The sequence below is a fragment of the Homo sapiens genome, chromosome 14, assembly GCF_000001405.40.
Source record: "Homo sapiens chromosome 14, GRCh38.p14 Primary Assembly".
Taxonomy (NCBI): Eukaryota; Metazoa; Chordata; class Mammalia; order Primates; family Hominidae; genus Homo; species Homo sapiens.
In genome coordinates, this window is record NC_000014.9 from 74,056,842 (window position 1) to 74,084,656 (window position 27,815).

Sequence of the window (27,815 nt, forward strand, 5' to 3'; positions counted from 1 at the left end):
AAATATGAAGGCATGAGGAGACACTGCCTCATTCATTATCTTTGTTGACTTTTACCCACTACAGGAAATACAACCAGAGTTCTAGGCCTCCAGTTCCAGACTATGTTGTTTCTGACAGTGGGGAAACAAAGGAATTTGGGTAAGAGCTCTCTTGCTTAAGTAATAAACATGAGCCCAACACGATGGTTCTTGTGGGCATCTTGAATGTGCTAATTGAAAGTAATATGACAAGTCTGTTATTCTAAACCAGGTTTCATGTGTGTAGAGTTGTTGACGGTTCTGTTATTTTGTCATTATTGCAGGGATGAAAGTAAGCTTCAAGATAAAATCTTCATCACCCAGCAAATTGCAATATCAGACTCTTCTGGTGAAGTGGTGCTACCCACTATTCCAAAAGAACCTCAGGAGTCTGACACAGTAAGGAGTCTGTATCTAATCAAACAATGTATATTGTTGTCACCCTTCCCCATGTCGCTTCTTGCTAAATCACGGTTATTTTCTCTACTAGTTGAGAGACTTCAGGGATCAGTGGAATGAGTAATAAATAGCATTAGTAGATTACATAAATTTTTAAAGCAATATCCGTACAAATGCATATTATACTAATGCAAATGCAAATGTGTGCCTCTTTTTGTGTAGAAACCTATAGGTTGCCTTTTGAAGTAAACAGCCTAGCCAAAATGTGTACTATCTTTTACGTAAGAGTAAACATAGTGACCTTGTGACTCTTAGCTTTCCATCACAGGTGGGAAGTCAGAGTCATTACAACCTAGAGGACAAAGGCTTATAAGGAGATATGAAATGATTTTTTTAAGCCAAGTTTTTCTCTTTAAGAGTTTTTAATTTATAATTTGTTATTCATAATTAGTACAATGTAGAATCTGAGAAATTTCAAATGAAGCCACATTAGAACAAAAAGAAAATACTGACTTTTTAGCCGCGATCACATGAATATAACTGATGAGTTTTTTTCATCTAAGAAATAAGAAACTCTGAGCAGCAAATAGTTGGCCAGATGAGTTGTTTCTAATTAGAGCATCACAGTTCTGATTAGTGTGTTTTTTTAGAAGTGATTTCCCTTAAATATAAGGAAAATGTTAGGAATCTCTGTGACTACATTTAATTCCACTTGGAATATAGACAATAATGACCTTTTATTTAACCCAGCCTATAGTTGTTGGATTGGATTAAATATCACTACCAGGGCCAGGTGCGGTGGTTCACGCCTGTAATCCCAGCACTTTGGGAGGCCGAGGTGGGCGGATCATTAGGTCAGGAGATTGAGACCATCCTGGCTAACATGGTGAAACCCTGTCTCTACTAAAAGTACAAAAAATTATCCGGGTGTGGGGGCATGCACCTGTAATCCCAGCTACTCGGGAGACTGAGGCAGGAGAATTACTTGAACCCAGGAGGTGGAGGTTGCAGTGAGCCGAGATCGTGCCACTGCACTCCACCCTGGGCAACAGAGCGAGACTCCATCTCAAAACAAAACAAAACAACAACAAAAAAAATCACTACCAGTTGCCAGCTGTGATAAGAGCTAAAACAAGGGGTACTGTAGTCTCAAATTATAAATTTCTATTGCCTCATATTTAGGAAAGCAGAAAAAAAAAAAAAAAAGGCCCAGTAGGATCATAAGTGTATTTTACAAAAGTTCCAGTCACCTTAAGTGATTGAAGGTTTTGACATTTTATCCAGCCAGGTGGTAGTAATAAGCCTCAAATCCACAGGGTACACAACATTTTCAAGGTCTTTTTTTTTTTTATCATACTTAATTCATGAATAACCCCCATAGTGTAGGTTAGTTAGCACTATCAAAGTGACTGGTAAGGACGCAGGAAAATAAAAAGAGGATTCAATTGGATTGGTACTGCAAAAAGAATCCATTCTGTTCAGCACATGAATTTCTGTTCTGACCTTAAGTTTAGATATATCAAAGAAACAAAAAGCATAGAGGCGGCTGGGGGTGGTGGCTCACACCTGTAATCCCAGCACTTTGGGAGGCCAAGGCAGGCAGATCACCTGAGGTCGGGAGTTCGAGACCAGCCTGACCAACATGGAGAAACCCTGTCTCTACTAAAAATACAAAATTAGCCAGGCATGGTGGCGTATGCCTGAAATCCCAGCTACTCAGGAGGCTGAGGCAGGAGAATTGCTTGAACCCGGGAGGCAGAGGTTGCAGTGAGCCAAGATCACGCCATTGCACTCTAGCCTGGGCAACAAGAGTGAAACTCCATCTCAAAAAAAAAAAAAAAAAAAAAAGCGTAAAGGCAGTTGAACTAATGGCAGAAGAAGACTGTCAAAGCATTTTTTTTTAACCACTTTATGTCATGGAAAGCTTCGAAATTTCTTAGGCCCAGTTAATTGCTCTACATGAAGAGTTCTTCATTAAACAAATCACTAATTAGAAATACAGGCAAGAGAAAAGAATATATAAAATTTGGCAAGTAATAGCAGGTTAGATTTGCTTAAGGCAGGTGTCTTACCCATTTTCATGGTTGGAACAATCCTTGATTTCTGGGCCTAAAATAACTTTTGAAATAATTTTCTAAGAAAATTATTTGCATCTGGCTGGGTGTGGTGGCTCATGCCTGTAATCCCAGCACTTTGGGAGGCCGAGGCAGGCGGATCACCTGAGGTCAGGAGTTCGAGACCAGCCTGACCAACACGGAGAAACCCCGTCTCTACTAAAAATACAAAATTAGCTGGGTGTGGTGGCGCATGCCTGTAATCCCAGCTACTAGGGGGGCTGAGGCAGGAGAATCGCTTGAACCTGGGAGGCGGAGGTTGCGGTGAGCTGAGATCACGCCATTGCACTCCAGCCTGGGCAACAAGAGTGAAACTCCATCTCAAAAAAAAGAAAAAAGAAAATTATTTGCATCTGAATTAATGGCTGAAGTATTAATTAATGATTGCTGAAGAGAACCCTGAAACTTAGTACTTGGCACATATAACAAAAAGTTGATTTATCCATTGCTTACTGAGGTATCCTTGAGAAGTGATCTTAAGCAGGAGCAGTGACAATGATAGAATTAATAGTGGTCATGAATTACTAGGAAACAAAGTGGCATTGAGCAGAAAAGAAAGAAGCTGTTGCCACAACTTTGGGATATATAAAAATGGATTATATCTTGTGTATTGTGGGATAAAAGAGGGGCTAAAGAAAACTTTGCAGGAGGTCTCTCCCAGTGGCATTTAGGTAGCGCTATGTTTGAGGATCAACCAAAAGCGGTGAGTTATTTCTGTCCTGTTTCCCCATCTAAGAGTTCTTCTTGCAATTATTGGAACATCTTCTTTAAAAAATTTTTTTTCCCTTTTCTTTTTTTACTTTTTCAATTTTTTTAAATAATAGATACGGGGTTTCGCCACGTTCTTCAACTCCTGGGCTCAAGCAATCTGCCCACTGTGGCCTCCCAAAATGATGGAATTACAGGCGTGAGCCACCGCGCCTGGCTGGAACATTTTCTTTACATACACTGGCTTTTCTCCCCTTCAAATCATCAGAAAATGGGATAATTTTTAGAAATCAGGTTTAAGCACTACTTTCAGATAAGCATTTCATAGTTACAACAGTTACCTCAAAATAGAAGTATGAAGAGCAAGTGAGAAATCTGGTTTCATTGTTACACTAGGCAGTTCCCTATAGAAACTTTGCGGGGGTTAATAGTCCTGAGGAAGATTTTAGTTACAATGTATTCCAATCCCATCGATCTGATCTGAGCAAAGCTGACAAATGAAGCTGGTCAAAAATAAAGGGAGATTACTCAGGATGGAGTCAGTCTTAAACAAACTTGTTTCTAACGGCCCATGGTAGGCATGACAACAGCAGGTGAGGAAAGAGTAGCATCTTCTTCTTTCCACTGAGAAGTAATGGTCTTTAACTGAGTGTAGAATTGGATGCCCTAAGGAAAACAGAAAAAAAGTTAGCATATATTTCTGGGGTTTCATGATTCTTCTTTTAATTAGCTTTTGAAGGAGGTATTATAAAGTGCTACTCACTTTCCTAATTGAGAAATGCAATCAGAATCCAATATATATTGTTCCTAAGATAATTGATCTAAAACATTTAACATAATACCTGGCAGATAGTAAACAATCAAACCTTAGCCATCATTATTATGCTGAAACTAGTATTTCTTTCTTTTTTGTTTGAGATGGAGTCTTGCTCTGTCACTTAGGCTGGAGTGCAGTGGCATGATCTCAGCTCACTGCAACCTCTGCCTCCCGGGTTCAAGCAGCTCTCCTGCCTCAGCCTCTCGAGTAGCTGGGATTACAGGCACCTGCTACCACGCCTGGCTAATTTTTGTATTTTTAGTGGAGATGGGGTTTCACCATGTTGGCCAGGCTGGTCTCGAACTCCCGGCCTCAAGTGATCCGCCTTCCTCGGCCTCTCAAAGTGCTGGAATTACAAGTGTGAGCCACCGTGCCCCCAGCTATTATATAGTAGGCCATTTATTTATTTATTTATTTATTTTGAGACAGAGTCTTGCTCTGTTGCCCAGGCTGGAGTGCAGTGGTGTGATCTTGGCTCACTGCAACCTCTGCCTCCCAGGTTCATGTGATTCTCCTGCCTCAGCCTTCTGAATAGCTGGGATTACAAGTGTGTGCCACCATGCCCAGCTATTTTTGTATTTTTAGTAGAGAAGGGCTAATTTCAGATTAGCCCATGTTGGCTAGCACCATGTTGGCCAAGCTGGTCTTGAACCCCTGACCTCAGGTGATCCGCCAGTCTTGGTCTCCCAAAGTTCTGGGATCACAGGCATGAGCCACTGTACCCAGCGGCCATTTCTGATAATTATCAGAGATCATGAGCTCTATATTGAAGTGGCAAACCCAAAGTATCTTAGAAATCTAAAGTAAAATGTCTGACATTATACAAATTCACTTCTCAATTACCTATAACATGTGAGCCCAAAAATTCAGCATATTTAACTCTCTCTATATATAGATATAGTTTATAAGAGTAGGCTTGAGCAAAAGAGAATACATTGTGCAGATCTAACACTTATATAATTACTAGCAAGCTAGAATGACATTTTACCAGATTACCAGAGTAATTTATAATAATTAAACTGGGGGGTGCAGCCAGGAGCGGTGGCTCACACTTGTAATATCAGCACTTTGGGAGGCTGAGGTAGGCGGATCACTTGAGGCCATGAGCTCAAGACCAGCCTGGCCCAACATGGCGAAACCTCGTCTCTACTGGGAAAAAAAAAAAAAAAAAAAAAAAAAAAAAGCTGGGCGTGGTGGAGCCTGAGGCAGAATTGCTTGAACCTGGGAGGTGGAGGTTGCAAGTGAGCCGAGAATGCACCATTGCACTCCAGCCTGGGCAACAGAGCAAAACTCCCATCTCAAAAAAATAAATAAATGGAGAGGGTGGGCAGGGAACAATTTTTAAACAATAGTTGTACTCTGTTTTGCTTAAAAGAAATGTTACTAGTATCAAATTAGTCATTTTTACAAAAGCTGTGACTAGGCCGGGTGCGGTGACTCACTCCTGTAATCCCAGCACTTTGGGAGGCCGAGGCAGGCAGATCACCTGAGGTAAGGAGGTCGAGACCAGCCTGGCCAACATGGCGAAACCCCGTCTCTACTACAAATACAAAAATTGGCGGGTGTGGTGGCACGTGCCTGTAATCCCAGCTACTCGGGAGGCATAGATACGAGAATTGCTTGAACCCTGGAGGCTGAGGTTGCAGTGAGCCAAGATCATGCCACTATACTCCAGCCTGGGTGACAGAGAAAGATTCCATCAAAAAAACCCCAAAACAAAAAACCAAAAGCTGTGACTAATATACAAACTATATAATCAACCTCCAAATACCAAAGTGTTGACTTCTTAACCATTTGGCCACACTGTCATAATGCTATGCAATCCCATTGTTAATTTTTTAATAACCCAAACATAAATAAAATAAAAAAGCCCCACATCCCTCGCCCTGTGGCAGCACATAGCTGGCACAGAAAAAAAAAATCAACCTATAAAAGGGGAGACTTGTATAACAAAACATGTAATTTATTAATGAAGGTTTCAAAATGGCTCTAGTCCTATGACTAGAAAGAACTTCCCCTAGCCTATTTGTTCAACAAATGTTTGGGCAGCCTGCTCTGTTCCAGGTACTGCAGATAAGTAGATAACAACTACAGTCTGATGAGGGCTTCTTTAAATGGCTTAAAGAGCCCTACATGACTCAACCCCTGCCTGCCTCTCTAACTTCATTTCTTCCTTTTCTTCTCATTTGCTCACTGTGCCCCAGCCCATTTCCGCTGTCTGAATGTGCCATGCTTCTTCCTGCCTCGGGACATATGCACCTGTTGGCCGATGTGGCAATAGTAATAATTCTTCTTTTTTTTTTTTTTGAGATGGAGTCTTGCTCTGTTGCCCAGGCTGGAGTCCAGTGGTGCAATCTCGGCTCACTGCAACTTCCGCCTCCCAGATTCAAAGGATTCTTCTGCCTCAGCCTCCCGAGTAGCTGGGATTATAGGCACCTGCCACCACACCTGGCTAATTGTTTTATTTTTAGTAGAGGGGGTTTTGCCATGTTGGCCAGATTGGTCTCAAACTCCTGACTTCAGGTGATCTGCCTGCCTCAGCCTCCCAAAGTGCTGGGATTACAGGCGTAAGCCACTGCACCTGGCCAATAGTGATAATTCAGTCCTTACAATGTTATGAAATACATAGGTACTATTGTTATTCATTTTATACGTGAATAAATTTAAGGCATAAAGAAGGTATCCTGGTTGGCTGTGGTGGCTCATGCCTGTAATCCCAGCACTTTAGGAGGCTGAGGCAGGCGGATCACCTGAGGTCAGGAATTCGAGACCAGCCTGGCCAAAATGGTGAAACCCTATCTCCACTAAAAATACAAAAATTAGCCAAGTGTGGTGGTGGGCATCTGTAATCCCAGCTACTTGGGAGGCTGAGGCAGGAGAATTGCTTGAACCTGGGAGGCGGAGGTTGCAGTGAGCCAAGATTGTGCCACCGCACCCCAGCCTGTGCGACAGAGTGAGACTCTGTCTCAAAAAAAAAAAAAAAATTAATGGTATCCCCCAAAGTCAGACAGCTAATAACTGGCTTAGCTGGGATTTGAACACAGGCAATTTGGTTCCAGATCTGCTTTACTTTTCTTGTTCAGTGCTGTATTCATAGTGCCTAAAATAATGTCTGCTACAGACCGGGCAGAGTGGCTCACACCTGTAATCCCAGTGCTTTGGGAGGCTGAGGTGGGTGGATCACAAGGTCAGGAGTTCAAGACCAGCCTGGCCAACATGGTGAAACCCTGTCTCTACTAAAAAACAAAAAATTATCCAGGCATGGTGGCAGGCACCTGTAGTCCCAGCTATTCGGGAGGCTGAGGCAGGAGAAGTGCTTGAACCCAGGAGGCGGAGGTTGCAGTGAGCTAAGACCATGCCACAGCACTCCAGCCTGGGCAACAGAGCGAGACTGTGTCTCAAAAAAAAAAAAAATAATAATAATAATAGTAATAATAATGTCTGCTACAAAGAACGTGCTCAACAACATTTTTTGTAAATGAATAACTATTACAGAAAAAATACGTGCAATGGGAACACACTGGGGTCACACTACCCAGCACTGAGGGAGGGGTGGTGGTAGTTGGAGGAGATTTTCTGGAGGAGCTCATTTTTTAAAGTGAGACATGACAGATGATTAGGAGTTAGTCAGATGAAAGGGGAGAGATGGGGAAGAGGGTCACACACTCAGGAAATGGCATATACAAAGGCTTAGACTTCCCCATGCTCTTTCCTCAAAACTTTGTTGCTTTGAATTATTCAGGAAGAAGCAGCTTTGGCAAAATTTTGTTAACTTTTAAATCTTTTTTAGGGAACCTTCTGAGAAGCACTGATTATGACCTCACAGATGCTGCTGGCAGTCCCTTCCTTGCAGAATCCTTGCTCCTGAATATCTTTAAGAAAATTTCTTAAAGGAAAAGACAAAAAATTTAACTCAAAAGTTACCTGTTTGCCATAGAAATTGGTGTCTCCCCTGAAGGAGGATCGAGAGCCGGTGAATGAGAACATTGGCAAAGGCACTGGAATGGGGACATTCACTCCCACCTAAAACAGAACAAATCCGTGTCATATCCTAAGGACAAAGGAACTCTCCATTTAGAAACACAAAGGCATCAGAGACCAGTTTTAAATACCCACCTTCTACCCTATCCTCTACCCCATGAACTTTCATTCCTGAGGAAGAAATGGGGCAATGTGGGAGGTCATGGGGGCAATCTTAAACCAATGACTCACCATTATTTACTGTTTCCTCTTAGGAAATAGTAAATGGATATAAGAATCTCTTAAAAATTCTGTTCACGAACCTGTCCAACATCCACCAAGTGGGCATATTTCCGAGCAGTGGCTCCATTGGTGGTGAAGATGGCAGTTCCATTTCCATATGGGTTGTTATTTACAATCTGGATGGCTTCATCCAATGTTTCTGTCTCCAGAACCACAAGAACTGGACCAAAAATCTCCTCTTTGTAACAGGTCATATTTGGCTGCCAGGAGTGATGCATCCAGAAAAGAAGTCAGCTTTTTGGATTCTGAGTATTTTATGCTTATTTGGTACTTTCACTTACTACACATCATTTACGTGGACAACTTTCATATTACTAATCTCTTTTCATTTCAAATCACCTATTTAAAAAAAAAGTCCTCTCTCAAGTGTATTCCGTCTTCCAAGTTACCAATCATATAAACAACTTGGAATTCCTATCAACAATAACCACACTTCCTTTAAGGGACTGTATCTTTAGTTCATGACCCATCATCAGCTGCCTTTTTAATACCTGAACGACTAGTTTCATCCAATTGTTATCAAAAAGTTACATGAAAATTTATTTTTTATAAATCCAATCTATAGTAAATATACCAGGATAATTTTTCTCTTTACAGAAACCCCATGCTGTTTTCTGTAACATAAATAATCCATTCTTATTCACTCCTTTGCCTCCCAAATATGTCTGTATGTTTATATTTTGATATCAGGTCGCAGACACTCAAAACATCCTTCACCATGCAATTAATGTTTGTTGCTGATAAACGGATTTTTCTGTATGGTTCTGTGGCAAGAGATTTCATAATTTCTACTGCACTTACATTCAACACTTGATGATTCACTATTATAGTAAGGATATATGAATTTCAAAAAATGCCTCATAACCTCAATTTTTAAGTCATGTTAGCTGAGAGACTTTCAAAGTTTTGATAAATAAAAATTGACAAGTCAATTATTTTTGTCACTTTCAATAAATATTGGGTGGTTGATATATTGATTGAGACACTGCAGTAGCCATAAGCTAGGCAGCAAGAGGGAGAGGGGAGAGAAAACATTAACAAACCAGTATAAGATAAGATAGCGTTTGGCAAACTATAGCCTGTGGGCCAAATGTGGCTTCCTGCCTGTTTTTGTACAGCCCCAAGTTAAAAATGGTTTTTGCATTTTTAAATGGTTGAAAAAAAATTAATCATATATAAAATGATATGAAATTCAAATATCAGTGTCCATAAATAACATTTTTTTTGGAACACAGCCACACAATGTTTATAGCTGATCTCACACTACAATGTCAGAGTTTAGTTGCAACAGACACTATATCCCTGCAAAGCTGGAAATATCTATCCCTTTATGGAAAGTCTGCAGACTGCTGGTATAGTGGAAAGAGTTTGGTTGGGAGTTAGAAGGAGAGGCTCATTCAGACTCCAGATAAAATAATTGATCAATCCTGGCAAGAGATAAGGTCTTAGTCATTAAGTATTTTCATTAATAAATTAGAGGGATGAGATTCTATAGCCTTTAAGGTGCCTTCAGCTCTCATATTTGTGAAGTGAAAGTTGTTCACCTTGACATTCGAGATGATGGTTGGTCCAACAAAGTTGCCATTTTCATAGCCTTTCACTTTAATTTTTCGTCCATCAAGAAGGATGGAAGCTCCCTCCTTTGTTCCACTATCAATCAGATTACAGACTCGCTCTTTGGCCTGGGGAGTGATCAGAGGGCCAAGATCAGCTCCAGGCTGATCTCCTGTAAAACAACACAGAAGAATTTAAGGTCCTCATTAACATAAATTATGACTGCTGCCAGGGCTCATGCCTGTAATCCCAAAGCTTTAGGAGGCCAAGGCAGGAGGACTGCTTGAGCCCAGGAGTTCCAGACCAGCCTGGGCAACAAAGTGAGACTTCATATTTACAAAAAATAAAAAAATTAGCCAGGTGGTGGCCCGCACCTGTGGTCCAAGCTGCTCAGGAGGCTGAGGCAGGAGGATCACTTGAGCCCAACAGTTTGAGGCTGCCATGAGCTAGGATGGTGCCACTGCACTCCAGCTTGGGTAACAGACAGCCTGTGCTTTAAAAAAAAAGACTGCTAACAAGATGACTCCAAATGACAAGTACAGTATAAAGAGAGGAAATGGCAAGAATAGACATGATTGTTCCCACTGGCCAAGGCCAGTGACAGAACCCAAGAGCTTAATGCCACAGATGCAAAATCTAAGGGGGCAAGTCAGGTGATTGATTACCTGCATTGACTCTCAGGTTTTTGGCATGCTCCACCAGCTCTGGCAGCCACTTCTTGGCTTCTCCCACAAGGACTGCTGTTGAAAGAGCCATGCAGCGCTGACCAGCAGCTCCAAATGCTGCCCCAACCAGCTGGTTCAGGGTATTTTCCTTATTGGCATCTGGCATGACTACCCCATGGTTCTTGGCTCCCTAAAAAAAAATGCAGAAAGCACATGAGTCTTCCTTGGCCAAATACAACTAAGCTAAGAAATTAAGCAGTGGACCAGGTGTGGTGGCTAATGCCTGTAATCCCAGCACTTTGGAAGGCTGAGGTGAGAAGGATAACTTGAGGTCAGGAGTTCAAGACCAGCCTAGGCAACATAGTGAAACACCATCTCTACAAAAAATACAAAAAATTAGCCAGGCATAATGGCACCAGTCTGTGGTCCCAGCTACTTGGGAAGCTGAGGTAGGGGGACCACTTGATCCTGGGAGGCGGAGGTTGCAGTGAGCCAAGATCACACCATTGTACTCCAGACTGGGTGACAGAGTGAGACCCCTGTCTCAAAACAAACAAACAAACAAAAAACAGGAATTTGTTGTCTGCTGGGTTTTTTAGTTATATGAAGAGCAATGTTAAAAAAAAAAAAAAAAAGAACTTACAGCCTTACAGCAATAATGCCAGTAACCAGCTGAAAGGCAAAACAGAAAGTAGACCTCTTGATGTAGAATTTCAAGAAAGAGGCCAGGCATGGTGGCTCATGCCTGTAATCCCAGCACTTTGGGAGGCTGAGGTGGGTGGATCACTTGAGGTCAGGAGTTCAAGACCAGCTTGGCCAAGAAACCCTGTCTCTACTTAAAATACAAAAATTAGCTGGGTGTGGTGGTAGGCACCTGTAATCCCAGCTACTCAGGAGGCTGAGGCATGAGAATTGTTAGAACCTGGGAGGTGGAGGTTGCAGTGAGCTGAGATGGCACCACTGCACTCTAGCCTGGGTGACAGAGTAAGACTCTGTCTCAAAAAAAAAGAAAAAAAGTGATTAACGTGACTTAGAATGAAACTCCTCAAAAGGTTCATGATTAAAGAGAAGACATTCAGGAGGATATGGTAAGGCTTACGCCTGTAATCCCAGCACTTTGGGAGGCCGAGGCGGGCAGATCATGAGGTCAGGAGATCGAAACCATCCTGGCCAACATGGTGAAACCCTGTCTCTACTGAAAAAAAATAGAAAAATTAGCCGGGCGCTGTGGCATGTGCTTGTATTCCCAGCTACTCGGGAGGCTGAGGCAGGAGAATCGCTTGAACCCGGGAGGCAGAGGTTGCAGTGAGCCGAGATCATGCCACTGCACTCCAGCTTGGTGACAGAGAGACTCTGTCTCAAAAAAAAGAAAGAAACACTGACATTGGAGTGGGATGAGTGGCCTCTCTGCTGAAGGTCTGTTCCTAGGTAATTTTCATATATAGAACAAAGATTGGAGAAAAAAGGAATAAGAAGTCACCATATTGGCTTGAACCCTCTTGCCATGTCTTGATCCTCTCTCGAAGATATACTCTCCTGCCTTGTTGGATCCCACAAAGCTGATTGCTTTGATGTCCGGATGATCGCAAATAAAATTTACAGCTTTAAGAAGAAAATAAATGATCACTCACAAAGGAGCAAATGGATTCTCAACATGGCAAATTTCCCCTTTCCCCACTGCTATGGATTTGAAGTTTTCCTGTGTTTTTCTTTTACTTTTTCTTTTTTTTTTTTTTTTTTTTTGAGACGGAGTCTCGCTCTGTTGCCCAGGCTGGAGTGCAGTGGCACAATTTCGGCTCACTGCAACCTCCGCCTCCCAGGTTCAAGCAATTCTCTGCCTCAGCCTCCCAAGCAGCTGGGATTATAGGCACCCACCACCATGCCTGCCTAATTTTTGTATTTTTAGTAGACACGGGGTTTCACAATCTTGGCCAGGCTGGTCTTGAACTCCTGACCTCGTGATCCACTCGCCTTGGCCTCCCAAAATGCTGGGATTACAGGTGTGAGCCACTGCATCAGGCCTGTGTTTTTCTGTACTGGATTCTCATTGTGAAGTTCTCTCCTTGTTTCTTTTAAATTCTATTTAGCCGGCTGGACACGGTGGCGCATGCCTGTAATTCCAGCACTTTGGGAGGCCGAGGCAGGTGGATCACCTGAGGTCAGGAGTTCGAGACCTTCCTAGCCAATATGGTGAAACCCTGTCTCTACTAAAAATACAAAAAAATTAGCCAAATGTGGTGGTGGGCACCTGTAATCCCAGCTACTTGGGAGTCTGAGGCAGGAGAATTGCTTGAACCCGGGAGGCAGAGGTTGCAGCGAGCCGAGATTGTGCCATTGCGCCTCAGCCTGGGCAACAAGAGCAAAACTCCATCTCAAAACAATAAAAAATATAAAAATAAATTCTATTTAGTCTCTTTCCTTTCATGATTTTTCTCATTTGCTATTCCAGAATTTCTACTTCTAATCTAACCTTTTTTTTTTTTTTTTTTTGAGACAGGGTCTCACTGTTTCACCTAGGCTAGAGTACAGTGGTACAGTCTTGGCTCACTGCAACCTCTGTTTGCCAGGCTCAAGCTGTCTTCCCACCTCATGGGACTACCTGCACATGCCACCATTCCTGGCTAATTTTTGTATTTTTTTTGTAGAGACGGGGGTTTCGCCACATGGCCCAGGCTGGTCTCGAACTCCTGGGCTCAAGTGATCCGCCTGCCTTCACCTCCCAAAGTGCTGGGATCACAGGTATGTGCCACTGCACCCAGCCTTAATCTAACTTTGAAGGCTGCAACTCCTATTTTCCTCCAAAATAACAGCCTTTGAATACTGAACCCTTCTTTTTTGTCCTTTAAGAATAACAATAGGCAAGGCACAGTGGCTCACACCTGTAATCCCAGCACTTTGGGAGGCCGAGGCGGGTGGATCACCTGAGGTCAGGAGTTTGAGACTAGCCTGGCCAACATGGTGAAACCCCATCTGTACTAAAAATAACAAAATTAGTGGGGCACGGTGGCGCATGCCTGTAATCCCAGCTATTTAAGAGGCAGAGGCAGGAAAATTGCTTGAACCTGGGAGGCAGCGGGTAGAGTGAGCCGAGATCGCACCACTGCTCTCCAGTCTGGGCGACAGAGGGAGACTCCATCTCAAAAAAAAGAATAACAATATTTCCTCAATGGTGACTATGTACTGGGACACTCAGACACTATTGTGTTCTCATGTAAGAGGTAATATAGTGTAGTTTTTAAAAGCAAAAATCAGAGTCAGCCTTCCTGGATGGGTATACACATCCTGGCTTTTTCTAGCACTGTGACTTTGGGCTAATTAATTTCACTATGTCTCATTTTTCTCTTCTGCAAAATGGAAAAATAATACCTACCTCAAAGGGTGATTATAAAGATTAATAGATAAAAAGCACTAGGAACGGTGCCTGAAACACAGAAGCACTATTTAAGTATTAGCTATTATTACATGAATTAGAAGGCCTTCAGTATCTCTGAGATCTGCAAATTCTCTGAATTAAATACCCTCATGTATTCTCTTCACACTGAAGAAAAAAGTTTCTTTTTAATCTTATCTGTGTCTAGCCCTAATCCATATTTCTAGTGTCCCAATATATACTGTAGGGCAACAAGCACTGCTATTCCCCAATCAGTTACCTTGGCGCACAAAGATGGCAAAATCATCAACAAACATGGAGGTTAAAATGAGTAAATCCTTTCCTCCTTACAAGTAGGTTCCTTATCCTAAAACATCCAACCATCACTCAACACCTTGATTTTTTGGTAGCCAGATTAAGTAGCCATATGCATAAGGGCAGTTACCTTCATGCTGTCCATGGATGATGTTTAATGTTCCATCAGGGGCACCAGAATCCTGGAGCAACTTAGCAAGAAGCATAGTTGCTCCAGGGACTCGCTCAGATGGTTTCATTAGGAAGGTATTTCCACACACCATGGCCATGGGAAACATCCAAAGGGGGATCATGGCAGGAAAATTGAATGGAGCAATGCCTGCACACACTCCCAGAGGCAGACGGTAGGAATAAAGGTCCATGTCTTTGGTGATGGATGGCATGGTCTCTCCCATCATGAGGGATGTCACACTACAGGCATGCTCAACCACCTCTGGAACACAGAAGTCAGGCCATCAGCTCTCCACACTGTGTACTAGTTAGCTTTGTCCTGTTCTCTTCAGCCCTGAGGACAGGAAGTGGTTCAGGCCAATGAAGGGGTGCAGGGTACACTGACTTGCCCTTCCAAGTTAAGGGTTTGTGCAAAATGAGATTCTCTGAATGGGAAAAATACAGCGATATGTATATACCCACTGGAAGATCATTTGAGTAAAGAGTAAAGTAAATCAGTCTTAGGGATACTGAATACTGCCATTTTTCACAAGTATTAAAAAAGATATCATGGGATGGCAAAATCTATGTAAAGGAAGAAGCAACCTCCCATTCTGCGATCTTTGCCTCCCATCTTCCTTTGGTCCTTCCCAAAAGTCCCATAAGGGGCTCCCAGCTTACGAAGGCCTCGAAATACATCTCCTTCAGCATCAGCTAGGGTCTTCCCTTGTTCCAATGTGATTAACTTGGCAATTTCTTTCTAGAGAGAAGACACACAAATAGAAATTAATGCAAGAATGTTCCTCTTTTAAATTCTGAGGTAGCAAAGGAAGAATAAGACTGGAGGAGATGCAGTACAAGGGAGAGAGTCATGATCAACGTCTCTGCATACTGCAGAGTAAGGGAGGGTGGCTGAAAAGGTCTCTGTGAGAGTGACAAACATGCCCTAGGTGACAGTTTGGAAAAGCATACCATTTAGATTTCATACCAAGTTTTCTTTAATAAGTTGTTGATAGCGGAGCAAGACCTGCTGGCGGCTTAATACTGAAGTGTCTGCCCATGCAGGAAAAGCACGTTTGCAGGAAGCAATGGCTGCATCCATTTCTGCCTTGGTGGCCTGAGGGACCCGACCAATGACCTCATTGGTGGCCTGATGAGAAAAATAAGCACATGATCCTTTGCCTGACTCACCTTCTCCACTGTACATCCAGTCACAGAAGTGGCACTATGTGCTTTACAACAGACACCCAGGTCCCTTCTTGCCCATCATGTCCCTAGAATTCTAGGCTCATAAGTTGAAGTCCCAAAGCAGCTTCGCTTACTGGGTTGTGGATATCGATCCATTTGTCACTTTTGGATTCAACGAATTTCCCACCAATGAAGAGCTTTACAGTTGGCTGAAAAAAACAAACAAACAAACAAACAAACAAAAACATGAAACTTTGTATTAGCTAATTGCTTTGCTTTTCCCTTTCCCTTGCACCAAAAGGAAAGAAAACAAGTTGATAACGGAATCTTCTGGTCTTTAGAAATGTTACCACTAGGAAAGAGACACATAATATCCCTATCTATTCTGTGTGTGTGTGTTTATTTTTTTTTTGAGACAGAGTTTCGCTCTTGTCCCCCAGTCTGGAGCACACAGTGGTATGATCTCGGCTCACTGCAACCTCTGATTCCCGGGTTCGAGCAATTCTCTTGCCTCAGCCCTTCGAGTAGCTGAGATTACAGACACCCGCCACAACACCCAACTAATTTTTGTATTTTGAGTAGAGATGGGGTTTCACCATGTCGGCCAGACTGATCTCGAACTCCTGACCTCAGGTGATCCACCCACCTCGGCCTCCCAAAGTGCTAGGATTACAGGCGTGAGCCTCTGCACCTGGCCCTTATTTTTTATTTTTTATTTTTTTGAGACATGGTCTCACTCTGTTGCCCAGGCTGGAGTGTAGTGTGATCATGACTCACTGCAGCCTCAACCCCCAGGGCTTAGGTGATTCTCCCACCTCAGCCTCCTGAGCAGCTGGGACTACAGGCACATGCTACCATGCCCAGCTAATTTTTTTGTACTTTTGATAGAGACGGGGTTTGGCCATATTGCCTGGCTGGTCTCGAACTCCTGGGCTCAAGTGATCCACCTGCGTCAGGCTCTCAAAGTGCTGGGATTACAGGCGTGAGTCATCGTGCCCAGACTATAGTATATATTAAGATGTGGCACAGCCTCTCAATACTGTGATCTCTCTGAGAATGGGAAATTCCCTGCTATTCACACAGTGGAACTTCATGAGTAGAAACACGATATTATGAAGCTTATACTAAAAAAGCAGCAACTCTGTTAATAAAGATTAGCTATTATGACTTTTTGGCCCAGCTGACTGTTACATTACTGTGAGCATGTATTACCTTTATGATCAAAAGATTTTTGGCTGGGCAAATGGCTCACGCCTGTAATCCCAGCACTTTGGGAGGCCGAGGCAGGTGGATCAGTTGAAGTCAGGAGTTCTAGACCAACCATGGACAACATGGTGAAACCTTGTCTCTACTAAAAACACAAAAATCAACTGGTTTTGGTGGCATGCGACTGTAATCCTAGCTATTCGGGAGGTTGAGGCAGGAGAATCACTTGAACCTGGGAGGTGGAGGTTGCAGTGAGCTGAGATCACGCCACTGCATTCCAGCCTGGGTGACAGAGTAAGACTCCATCTCAAAAAAAAAAAAAAAAAGATTTTGAAAATGTTTCTATGTATTTTTTTCTGAGATATAGCTCACTTTAACTAATTTTTTTTTTTTTTAACATAGAGTCTACTTTGTCACCCAGGTTGGAGTGCAGTGGCACAATCTTGGCTTACTGCAACCTCTGCCTCCCAGGCTCAAGCAGTCCCTCTACCTCACCCTCCCAGGCAGCTGGGACCATAGGTACGCACCACCACGCCTGGCTAATTTTTTGTAGAGATGGGGTTTCACCATGTCTCCCAGGCTGGTCTCGAACTTTTGAACTCTGACAATCCACCTGCCTCAGCCTCCCAAAGTGCTGGGATTACAGGGGTGAGCCACTGCGCCCGGCCCCTTTCACTAAATTTTTTTTTTTTTTTTTGAAACGGAGTCTCGCTCTGTCATCAGGCTGGAGTGCAATGGTGCGATCTTGGCTCACTGCAACCTCCGCCTCCCGAATTCAAGCGATTCTCCTGCCTCAGCCCGCAGAGTAGCTGGGACTACAGGTGCGTGCCACCATGCCCAGCTAAGTTTTGTATTTTTAGTAGAGATGTGGTTTCCCCATGTTGGCCAGGATGGTCTCGATCTCTTGACCTCGTGATCCACCTGCCTCAGCCTCCCAAAGTGCTGGGACACTAAATTTTTAAAGCGGTCTATGAACCAAAAAATGGTGACCTACTGTGGTACAGTGTGTGCATACTTCTGTGTAGAAAGAATTTGAGCAATAGTCCTTATTTATTAGATTTTAGATGCTGGAAGTGGTTGACAGACAGATGATCTGTAAAAACCACTCTAAAGGTCATTAAGAAGAAGACAACTATCTGGCAGGGTCAGCAGAACCTCTAGAAGCCATGAAAATGTTTGTATCTTTTGACATGGTAATCCATTTCAGGAGGGAAATAATCCAAAAGGAGGAAAAAACTAGAAAGTTTCACATACACTCTGATGACAATTATGTAAAGAAGATAGAGATACCCAAAACTATACTGAATTCCTTCTCAGAAGTCAACCTCTATGCCAAATAAACTCACCACTGAAGAAGAGAAGGAAGATGCTGAATACCAGGTGGGACTGGATTTCACCTTGGAAGAAACCTGTGAGGCAAAAGAACGATTATTTTGATAAATGAGAGCAGAAAGTTATTTAAAATTTAGCAAATAGCTACTATATGCTATTTGCTATAGTATATAGGGGGTATGTTTCTCTCAAAGGCCATACAGTCATTAAAGAGAAAAGATATGAATCTATGACACAGCAAACTATGAACAAACAATAAACCATAATAATCATGTCCTATATTTCCAGGATAGTACTGATTAAAAAAAATCTTTTTGTCATTATATTTTCCTAATTTGGGCCTGGCAAATGTACCATAAATCTAACAATATGAAAATACTTAGCATGGTATCTAACACAATAGGTACTGAATTTAAGATCATATAAAATCAATGTGCTGGGCATGGTGACTCACGCCTGTAATCTCAGCACTTTGGGAAGCTGAGACGGGTATATCACTTGAGTCTAGGAGTTTTGAGACCACCCTGGGCAACATGGCAAAACCTTGTCTACAAAAAATTAAAAAATTAGCCAGGCAGTGGTGGCACATGCCTGTGGTCCCAGCTACTAGGGAGGCCAAGGTGGGAGGATTGCTTCAGCCCGGGAGGGTGAGGCTGCAGTGAACCGTGATTATGCCACTGCACTCCAGCCAGGAAGAGAGAGGGAGACCTTGTCTCAAAAAAAAAAATCAATGTAAATATAAATATAAGTAATAGAGTATATAATCAATGTAAATATAAATCAAAATTTATTACCAAATGCAATTAAAATTATGTCCATATAGGTATTTGAAAAATGAATGTTCATAAGAACTTTATTTGTAGTAGCCCAAAACTTGGAAACAACCCAATGTCTACCATTGGATGGGTGAATAAGGAAACTAATGTGGTATATTCATACACTGGAATACTACTCAGCAAAAAAAGGAATGACCTGCTGATACATGCAATATAAATAGTCATAATAATTATGGCAAGAGACAGAAGTTAGATAATAAAAGTACATACTGTATGATTCTACTTATGTAACACTAGAGAATGCAAACAAATCTGTAATATCAGAAAGCAGAACAGTGGTTACCTAGGGATGACGAGGGAAACTTTTTGGGGTGATGGACATATGTTCATTATGTTGATTGTGATGCTATTTTCACAGGTGTATACAAATGTTAAAACTCATCAAACTGCATACTTTAAATATGTACAGATTGTTTTGTGTCAATTTTATTTTAATAAAGCTATATTGAAATGCCATAGGTACATTAAAGGAAAAAATGTGTTGGATAGATAATATTTGATGGAGTAAAATCAGTAAACGGGGAGGATCAGTTTCAACAAGATAACTCTCAAATTGTAACTCACTAAAAAAGTCTGTATATATGTTATCAAAGTTGATTTTTTGAGATGGAGTCTCACTCTGTCGCCCAGGCTGGAGTGCAGTGGCATGATCTCGGCTCACTGCAACCTCTGCCTCCCGTGTTCAAGCGATTCTCCTGCCTCAGCCTGCCAAGTAGCTCAGATTATAGGTGTCTGCCACCACGCCCAGCTAATTTTCTTTTTATTTATTTATTTTTTGAGACAGAATTTTGCTCTCATTGACCAGGCTGGAGTACAGTGGCATGACCTTGGCTCACTGCAACCTCCACCTCCTGGGTTCAAGCTTTTCTCCTGCCTCAGCCTCCTGAGTAGCTGAGATTACAGACACCCGCCACCATGCCTGGCTAATTTTATTTTATTTTTTTTGTATTTTTAGTAGAGATGGGGTTTCACCATGTTGGCCTGGCTGGTCTCAAACTCCTGACCTCAGGTGATCCACCCGCCTCAGCCTCCCAGAGTGCTGGGATTACAGGTGTAAGCCACTGCACCCAGCCTATATATATGTTATCAAAGTTGATTTAAGAAATACTTAAGCCAATCAAAATGAGCAAACTAAAATACTCAGGACTGGGATATAAAGGAAAGCTGCAATCTAATAATCTTTTATCTTGCCTGAAAAGGGACTCTGTTAACCAGAGTATAGAGCTGCATGAAGGGTGCCTGCAGCACTGCCCAGGAAAAGGTGGTGGTCCTTTGGTCCAGCAGATAGTCCTTCCAAATACCTCATCTGTTTGCTCTTCTATTCCCTACCAAAGCCATTTCAAACCACTGACACTCTCCTGGAGCCCATCATGTCTTATTTATAGCTATGTTCCCAATACCAATATAGTACTCGGTAGGTAGTAGGTGTTCAGTAAATATCTGCTGAATAAAATAGAAGCCCATTCCTGTCTGCTTCCTACCCCAAACTAGGTTAAGAGGCCCTTTTTTGTCCTCTGAAAGCAGCCAATACTTCCCGTTTCAGGCTTATCTCTCTGTGTTGTAATTGTTTGGTATCTTATTCCGTTTTGTGTTGCTATAACAAAATACCTGAGACTGGGCAATTTATAAGGAAAAGTAGTTTATTTAGTTCATGATTCTGCAGGCTGGGAAGTTCAAGGGAATGGCTCTAGCTTCTGGCGAGGGCTTCTGTCCTGTGTCATAATATAACAGAGAAGATCAAAGGGGAAGCAGACCTGTGTGAAGAGGCAAAACTGGGGGGGTATCCTGGCTTTATAGCCCACTCACACAGGAACTAATCCATTCCCATGGGAACTAATCCAGTCTCAAAAGAGCAAGAATTCACTCACTACAGCACAAAGCCATTCATGAGGGATCCACCCCCATGACCCAAACACCTCCCACTAGGTCCCAACACTATCACATTGGAGATTAAATTTCAACATGAGTTTTGGTGGAGACAAACCAACCATATCCAAGCCACAGCACCTGGGTACTTATCTGTTACCCATAAAGACTGTCAGTTTCAGGAGGGTTGACACTGCATCTGTCTTGTTCACCTACTTCAGAGTTAAAGATTAAACCTGATCAGGACTGTCCAGTTATAGAAAAGTAGTTAGCACAAAGCTGGTACTCATTAAATCTTATTGTTATGTCATTGTAAATAACGGCACGGTGATTTCTGCCTGTAGTCCCAACTACTCGGGAAGCTGAGGCAGGAGGATCTCTTGAGCCCAGTTCAAGACCAGCTTGGGGAACATAACGAGACTCCATTTCTATAAATAATAAACACTTATTGTTTATTTTCACTCTTTGCTATTCCACAACTTTATCTTAAAACTCCCAATTCTACTAATTCCTCTTGTACTTTCAGGAGCTGACTTTGTTTTTCTTACTTCAGAGCACACAGAAACCATCAGATGAGAACTTCTCAACTTCCTACTAGCAAACCTACAAAACTGAACTCAACCTAATGGAGAAGGTAGCCAGCAAGCTCCATGCAGGAAAAGTGACCGAGACAGTGGTGCACGATCAATATATGTGGACTGGATGAAGAGGTATATACTTTTTTTTTTTGAGATAGGGTCTCGTCCTGTCTCCTAGGCTGGAATGCAGTGGCATGATCATAGCTCACTGCAGCCTCCATCTCCTGGGCTCAAGCCATCTTCCTGCCTCAGCCTCCCAAATAGCTGAGACCACAGGCACATACCACCACACCCAGCTAATTTGCTTTTATTATTTTATTTTTTTGAGACAGAGTCTCACTCTGTCACCCAGGCTGGAGTGCAGTGGTGCAATCTTGGCTCACTGCAACCTCCACCTCCCGGGTTCAAGTGATTCTCCTGCCTCAGCTTTCTGAGTAGCTGGGATTACAGGCATGTGCCACCACATCCAGCTAATTTTTTGTATTTTTAGTAGAGATGGGGTTTCAACATGTTGGCCAGGCTGGTCTCAAACTCCTGACCTCAAGTGATCTGCCTGCCTCAGCCTCCCAAAGTGCTGGGATTACAGGTGTGAGCCACTGCACCTGGCCACATTTTTGTATTTTTAGTAGAGACAGTGTTTCACCTTGTTGGCCAGGTTGGTCTCGAACTCCTGACCTCAGGTGATCTGACCATCTTGGCCTCCCAAAGTGCTGGGATTACAGGGGTGAGCCACCCCACCAGGCTGCCATTAACTCTTTAAGTTTCCCAAGGCTTGGTCCTAGGCCTTCTTTTCTTCTCATTCTGTATATGCTCCTTGGGTGATTTTATCAACTCTCATGGCTTAACTATCTAGATCCTGATGATGCCCAACTCTTTAGTCCTTGGCCAGTATTTTCCTCTTCAGGTGATACCCACGTAATTATCTTTACCACATCTCTATTTGGATGTTACTTGGGCACATGTTAAAAAAAGGTGGCTGGGCACAGTAGCTCACGCCTGTAATCCCAGCACTTTGGGAGGCTGAGGTGGGAAGATCACTTGCGTTCAGGAATTTGAGACCTGCCTGCACTCAATGGAGTACAATGGCGCAATCTCGGCTCACTGCAACCTCCACCTCCCGGGTTCAGGCGATTCTCCTGCCTCAGCCTCCTGAGTAGCTGGGATTACAGGCATATGCCACCACACCCGGCTAATTTTTTTTTCTTATTGTTTTTTTTTTTTTTCTTTTTTTGAGACAGAGTCTCACTCTGTCGCCCAGGCTGGAGTGCAGTTGCGCGATCTTGGCTCACCGCAAGCTCCGCCTCCTGGGTTCACACCTTCTCCTGCCTCAGCCTCTTGAGTAACTGGGACTACAGGCGCCCGCCACCATGCCTGGCTAGTTTTTTGTATTTTTAGTAGAGATGGGGTTTCACCATGTTAGCCAGGATGGTCTCGATCTCCTGACCTCATGATCCGCCCGCCTCAGCCTCCCAAAGTGCTGGGATTACAGGCGTGAGCCACTGCGCCTGGCCTAATTTTTTGTATTTTTAGTGGAGATGCGGTTTTGTCATGTTGGCCAGGCTGGTCTTGAACTCCTGGCCTCAAATGATCTGCCCACCTTGGCCTCCCAAAGTTCTGGGATGACAGGTGTGAGCCACGACATGTGACCTCTACGGATAATTTTAAAAATTAGTTGGGCATGGTCATGTGCACCTGTGGTCCCAGGTACTTGGGAGGCTAAGGCAGGAGGATCACCTAAGCCTTGGAGATTGAGGCTACAGTGAGCTGCGATTGTGCCACTGCACTCCAGCCTGGGTGACAGAGCGAGACCCTATCTTAAAAAAACAAAAACCAAAAAACAAAAGCAAAAGCTAAACTCTGCATCTTCCTTTTGCCAGTTTGCTATGCCTCCTATAGCCCACCTCTCGGTAAATAGGGCTACTCCTTAACAAGTTGCCAAAGGAGAAACCCAGATACTATTCCAATTCCTCCCTCTCTCTCTGCAGGGAAGCAAAAAACTCCTGGCAGTCTGTCCTAGAATTGTTTGAAACACATCACTCACCTCTAGCTGTCCTGCCATTATCCCAGTCTATACCATCATTGTCTCTCACTTGACCTTCCATAATAGCTTCCTAACACATCTCTCAGCCTCTAATGTTAAACTCTTTCTTTTTTTTTTTTTTTTTGAGACAGAGTCTCACTCTGTCACCCAGGCTAGAGTGCAGTGGCACAACCACAGCTCACTGTAGCCTCAATCTCCAGGGCTTAGGTGATCCTCCTGCCTTAGCCTCCCAAGTACCTGGGACCACAGGTGCACACGACCTCGCTCTCAGGCTCAAGTGATCCTCTTGCCTCAGTCTCCCAAGTACCTAGGAGTACAGGCACATGCCACCATGCCCAGCTAATTAAAAAAAATTTTTTTTTGTAGAGATGGGGCCTCCCTATCTTGCCAGGGCTGGTTTTGAACTCTTAGCCTCAAGCGATCCTCCTGCCTGGGCCACCCAAAGTGTTGGGATTACAGGCATGAGCCATCACACCCAGCCTACTCTTAAACTTTCTGAATCTAGTTTCCATCCCATAATCAGAGGGTCTTTCTGAAACATAAATCTGGTCAGATTATTCCCTTGTTTAAAATTCTTCTTTGGCTTTCCACTGCCCTTGGAATAAAGACTAATCCCCTTGATGTTGCTTAGAAAACGCTACATAGTATCTTTGCTTTTCTAGTTACATAACTGGCTACTTTCCTCCCTGTTCTCTATGCTCCTGCAATTTAACGTGTGTCTTGCTTTCTTTGCTCTTGCACATGCTGCTCTCTCTTGCCTGGCACTGTTTCATCTAATTTCCTTGGCTCATTCCTACTCCTTTAGGTCCCCACTCAGCCATCATCACTTTCTCTAGGAAGTCTCAACCTCAGGTCTATGGTAAGCAGCTGATTGTGAAGCTCATAAAGCACCCAAATTCCTTTATTTCTCATCTCACGCTATGAAATAATAGCTTGTCTAATGATTAACTTTCTCTCCTTTGAGGTCACTAGATTGTTGTGTCCCCAGCCCCTAGCACAATTCCTGGAAGAGAGTAAGTACTTAGTAAGCAATATTTTGCACAATGAAAGAATGAGTACTCGCCAAGCAATCATTTGATATTGTTTCAGTACTCTCAAGTTGGCAGACAATGCACTGATCAGCCAACTTGAGCATTCTAGGCCACTTAAATTTTATTTTTTCACTTGTATACAGCCTCCCTGCTGTTAAGAGGATGTAAAAAGCACTACATCTGGTATAATAGAACATATTCATATAGTTTTTTGACAGGTTCGATCTTCTATCTTTTCTTCATTTCCTAAGAAACACCCATTAGCATTGTTGCTGAAGAAACTATCCTGTGGCCAGTCACCCCAAACTGCTGCTCTCTAGATGTTTACTTCCTACTTGCTATATCCTTTATAAGGAACTCCTTCCTCTCCTGGTTCATGGCCTGCTAGTCCTGCAATACTTGGCTCTTTCCCTAGGTCCCCACAGTATCCCAGATACTCCTATTGTTTATCACTTATTGCAGTACAATAAAGGAGCTTTCAGTGAGCATTTTACTGTAAGCCTATGTCAGTGCCTAACATAGAAAGAGATGGCAAGACTTAAGTTCTGAATTTTCAGCCCCATCAGTTACTAGTTCGGTAACCATATCACCGACAGTGCAAGTCGCTACATCTCTTCAAGAGTAATTTTCTTGCCCAGGTGCAGCGGTTCGTGCCTGTAGTCCCAACACTTTGGGAGGCTGAGGTGGGAGGATAGCTTGAGTTTAAGAGTTCAAGACCAGCCTGGGCAACATGGTGAAACCCTGTCTCTACAAAAAATACAAAAATTAGCTGGCATGGGGGCACGATCTGTTGTTGCAGCTACTCGGAGGGCTGAGATGGAAGAATCACTTCAGCGTGGGAGGTCGAGGCTGCTGTGAGTTGTGATTGCACCACTGCACTCCAGCCTGGGTGACAGAGCGAGACCCTGTCTCGAACATTCCTTTATCTCTGCATGGGAGTGATAATATCACAAGGAGCAGAGAGAGGTTTTAGGTTAAGTTTGACTACTCTTCGTGGCAGAGAAAAATAAGCTGAATACTTAAAATAATTGAAAACATTAACTTTCTCCTCTATAAATCCTTTTGATAGTTCTCTAATATTCATGGCTGCCAAAATCGAGGTTTTTTTTTTTTTTTTTTTTTTTTTTGATGGAGTCTTGCTCTGTCGCCCAGGCTGGAGTGCAATGGCACGATCTCAGCTCACTGCAACCTCCGTCTTCCGGGTTCAAGCGATTCTCCTGCCTCAACTTCCTGAGTAGCTGGGATTACAGTCGCCCGCCACCACACCCGGCTAATTTTTGTATTTTTAGTAGAGAAGGGGTTTTACCATGTTGGTCAGGCTGGTCTCGAACTCCTGACCTCAGGTGATCCACCCACCTTGGCCTCCCAAAGTGCAGGGATTACAGGCAGGAGCTACAGCGCCTGGCCCGTAGGCTACTTTTTATCGAACTTTTAATCAAAGATTCACGTTACAACTCCTAGTTGGCTGAGGATTACTCTATCTGTTCTTTTCCAGGTCACTTCAGAAGTTTCTCCAAATGAATCAGAAAATACATAGTGTCTGTTTCTGAAATAAAAGTACATGGAAAGAGAGATTCTTCTCCTTGATGGAAAAGGACAAAATACTTTCTTAAGGTTCTCAATGACTCATTGTGATGGGAGGGGAAGAGGAGGCAAAGGAAAAAAGCCAATTTCAGTAAAAGATTTCAAGAAGTTGGTAAGAAAAATATAGGGTGGAAACTTTGTTTTCCTGCTACTAAAAAAAGATACTAGAACAGAACAAGGATCGCAGCAAGAAATATGAGTGAGGCCAGACCATCTGCCAAACCCTTCAAACTCATCCTTTCTACCTTCCCCATTAAATAGCATATTTAAAAATGAATCTTTGCTGACTCTGCCAAGAATCTTAAAACTGCCCAAGTTTCTTTACTAGAACTCACGGAAACCTGGTGAATACTAATATTACCTAAAAGCTCAGCAATATAGAGGAAATTCTCAGACTGGATGTAATGAATAAGAACGGCACTGTTGTTTCTTGCAGACTGTTTCTTGCCTGCGGTAAATCTTGCCACATACTCTAAATCCTTGGTAGGCCATGAACAGGGGAAAGACTATAAACAGAGTTGGAGATTACAGGCCTCAGGCATGCAACTCCTGTAGCTTTACCATTTCTCCTTAGGTTGGCTTCAGAGAGGACTCAATCCCCCAAGTGCAGAGATGAGGGTGTGTAGCACTAGAAGAGCTGATTTTGGGGTGGGAACTTAGACTTCTTGTCTTACCTGGCTCCCACTTTCTATCACCCGTTTTAAAGATGTTTGGTACCTTGAACATACATGGAACATACTGGTAGCTTTAACTGTGTGCCCTTATCTACCCTATCTATGTAGATGTGCCCTATCTATGTAAACTGTAACTTAGCTGAGAAAAAGTTTAACTCAAAGTTTTGGCAAGAAAGGGGACAGCCAGTCCATGGAAAATACAAAGAGCCACACTTAGGGAAAATAGCTTAGCAAATGGCTGCCTTTGGTGAAAATCTAGAGTCCACCTCTAGAAGGAAATTCAAAGTTCATACACTGACCCTCGCCCCTCGCGTCCCCCCTCCCCCTTACCTCAGATCACCACGGATAGTGAAGTAGGGTGGGGGAAGGGAGCAATGGCAAAGTGGACGCTCACGGCAGGGGACAGAGTAACCAAAAAGAGTAGTTTCTGGGGGAGAGAGAGAAGGCTGGTGCAGAGGTAAAAAGGAAAGACGGTGGGCGGATGGAGAGATGAGGGCAAGAGAGTGACAGCAGGGAGCGGGCAGAGCTGGAGAAGGAGAGTGGGCGAGAGCCAGAAAAGAGGAGGCTTAGGAGTAAAAGGGTAGAGGGCCAAGGGTAACAGCCCAGGGTTGGATCCGGGACCAGGGAGGTTATGAAGTGAGGGCTGGGCATGGGACAGGGCCGCACAGGTCGGGTAGGAGGTCTGGCCAAAAAGGGGTTGGGCCAAGAAGGTGGTCCCGCCCGAGGATGGCTCAGGGAGCGGACGGAAAGGATCCAATTCCTAGCTTCATGGTGCCTTGGCACCACCCTCACTCGCCTGCAGGATCCGGGCTCGCACTGCCGCCGCCGCCAATAGCGCCGCCATGGCTCTCGGCCGCCCTAGCTCCGCACCCCGCGCCTCTACTGCCCAGAAGCACTACAGCTGCCAGGCCTCGCCCTCCATCCTGCCAGGCTTCCTCATTGGTGGGGAGGACTATTTTCTCCAGCCAATCACTGGTCCGAACACCTGATTCCTCTCCTCACACCCCCGTCCTGGGGATAAGTGATTGGTTAGGAGCGAAAATGCTCTCGCCCTCTGCCACCTCAGCCAATGACGTAGGCGGAGGTAGAGAAGACGCCCCTGACTT

General features: G+C 43.5%; 2 protein-coding genes across 25 annotated transcripts in view, besides 1 other annotated feature; one reads left to right on the forward strand and one right to left on the reverse strand.

Annotated features, from left to right (window-relative positions):
* BBOF1 (basal body orientation factor 1) overlaps positions 1-26,023 on the forward strand; it is a 63,516-nt gene extending 37,493 nt beyond the window's left edge. For 10 of the 22 annotated variants that reach the window (XM_011537176.3, XM_011537170.3, XM_005268092.4 and 7 more), the window contains 2 exons: positions 65-139; positions 303-923. In XM_011537176.3, coding sequence (XP_011535478.1) covers positions 65-139; positions 303-537 — 310 coding nt within the window. In that variant the 3' untranslated portion in view covers positions 538-923. Of the gene's footprint in view, positions 1-64; positions 140-302; positions 924-7,846; positions 9,252-21,354; positions 21,512-25,946 lie in introns of those variants that run through there. The other 12 variants (XM_011537174.3, NM_025057.3, XM_017021663.2 and 9 more) reach the window with 3 other exon arrangements.
* On the reverse strand, positions 6-27,612 carry ALDH6A1 (aldehyde dehydrogenase 6 family member A1). 3 transcript variants are annotated; one of them, NM_001278593.2, is made up of 12 exons: positions 27,506-27,612; positions 18,114-18,176; positions 15,696-15,770; positions 15,401-15,523; positions 15,055-15,133; positions 14,354-14,656; positions 12,019-12,140; positions 10,539-10,728; positions 9,864-10,045; positions 8,340-8,519; positions 7,981-8,079; positions 6-3,905 (listed from the first exon to the last, which is right to left on the reverse strand). In NM_001278593.2, the coding sequence occupies exons 1-12, from the start codon at positions 27,551-27,553 to the stop codon at positions 3,801-3,803; spliced, it is 1,569 nt and encodes a 522-aa protein (NP_001265522.1). In that variant the 5' UTR covers positions 27,554-27,612; the 3' UTR covers positions 6-3,800. The 3 variants fall into 3 exon arrangements, with proteins under 3 accessions (NP_001265522.1, NP_005580.1, NP_001265523.1); NM_005589.4 differs by having other exon boundaries at positions 15,362-15,523; NM_001278594.2 differs by having other exon boundaries at positions 14,354-14,819; positions 15,362-15,523.
* Positions 7,057-7,276: a silencer, noted in NCBI's record as "fragment chr14:74530601-74530820 (GRCh37/hg19 assembly coordinates)". NCBI's record gives its function as "represses an EF-1alpha promoter that drives an FKBP-Casp9 reporter gene in an ReSE screen in HepG2 liver carcinoma cells {active_cell/tissue: HepG2}" and the evidence as "EXISTENCE:reporter gene assay evidence [ECO:0000049][PMID:32094911]".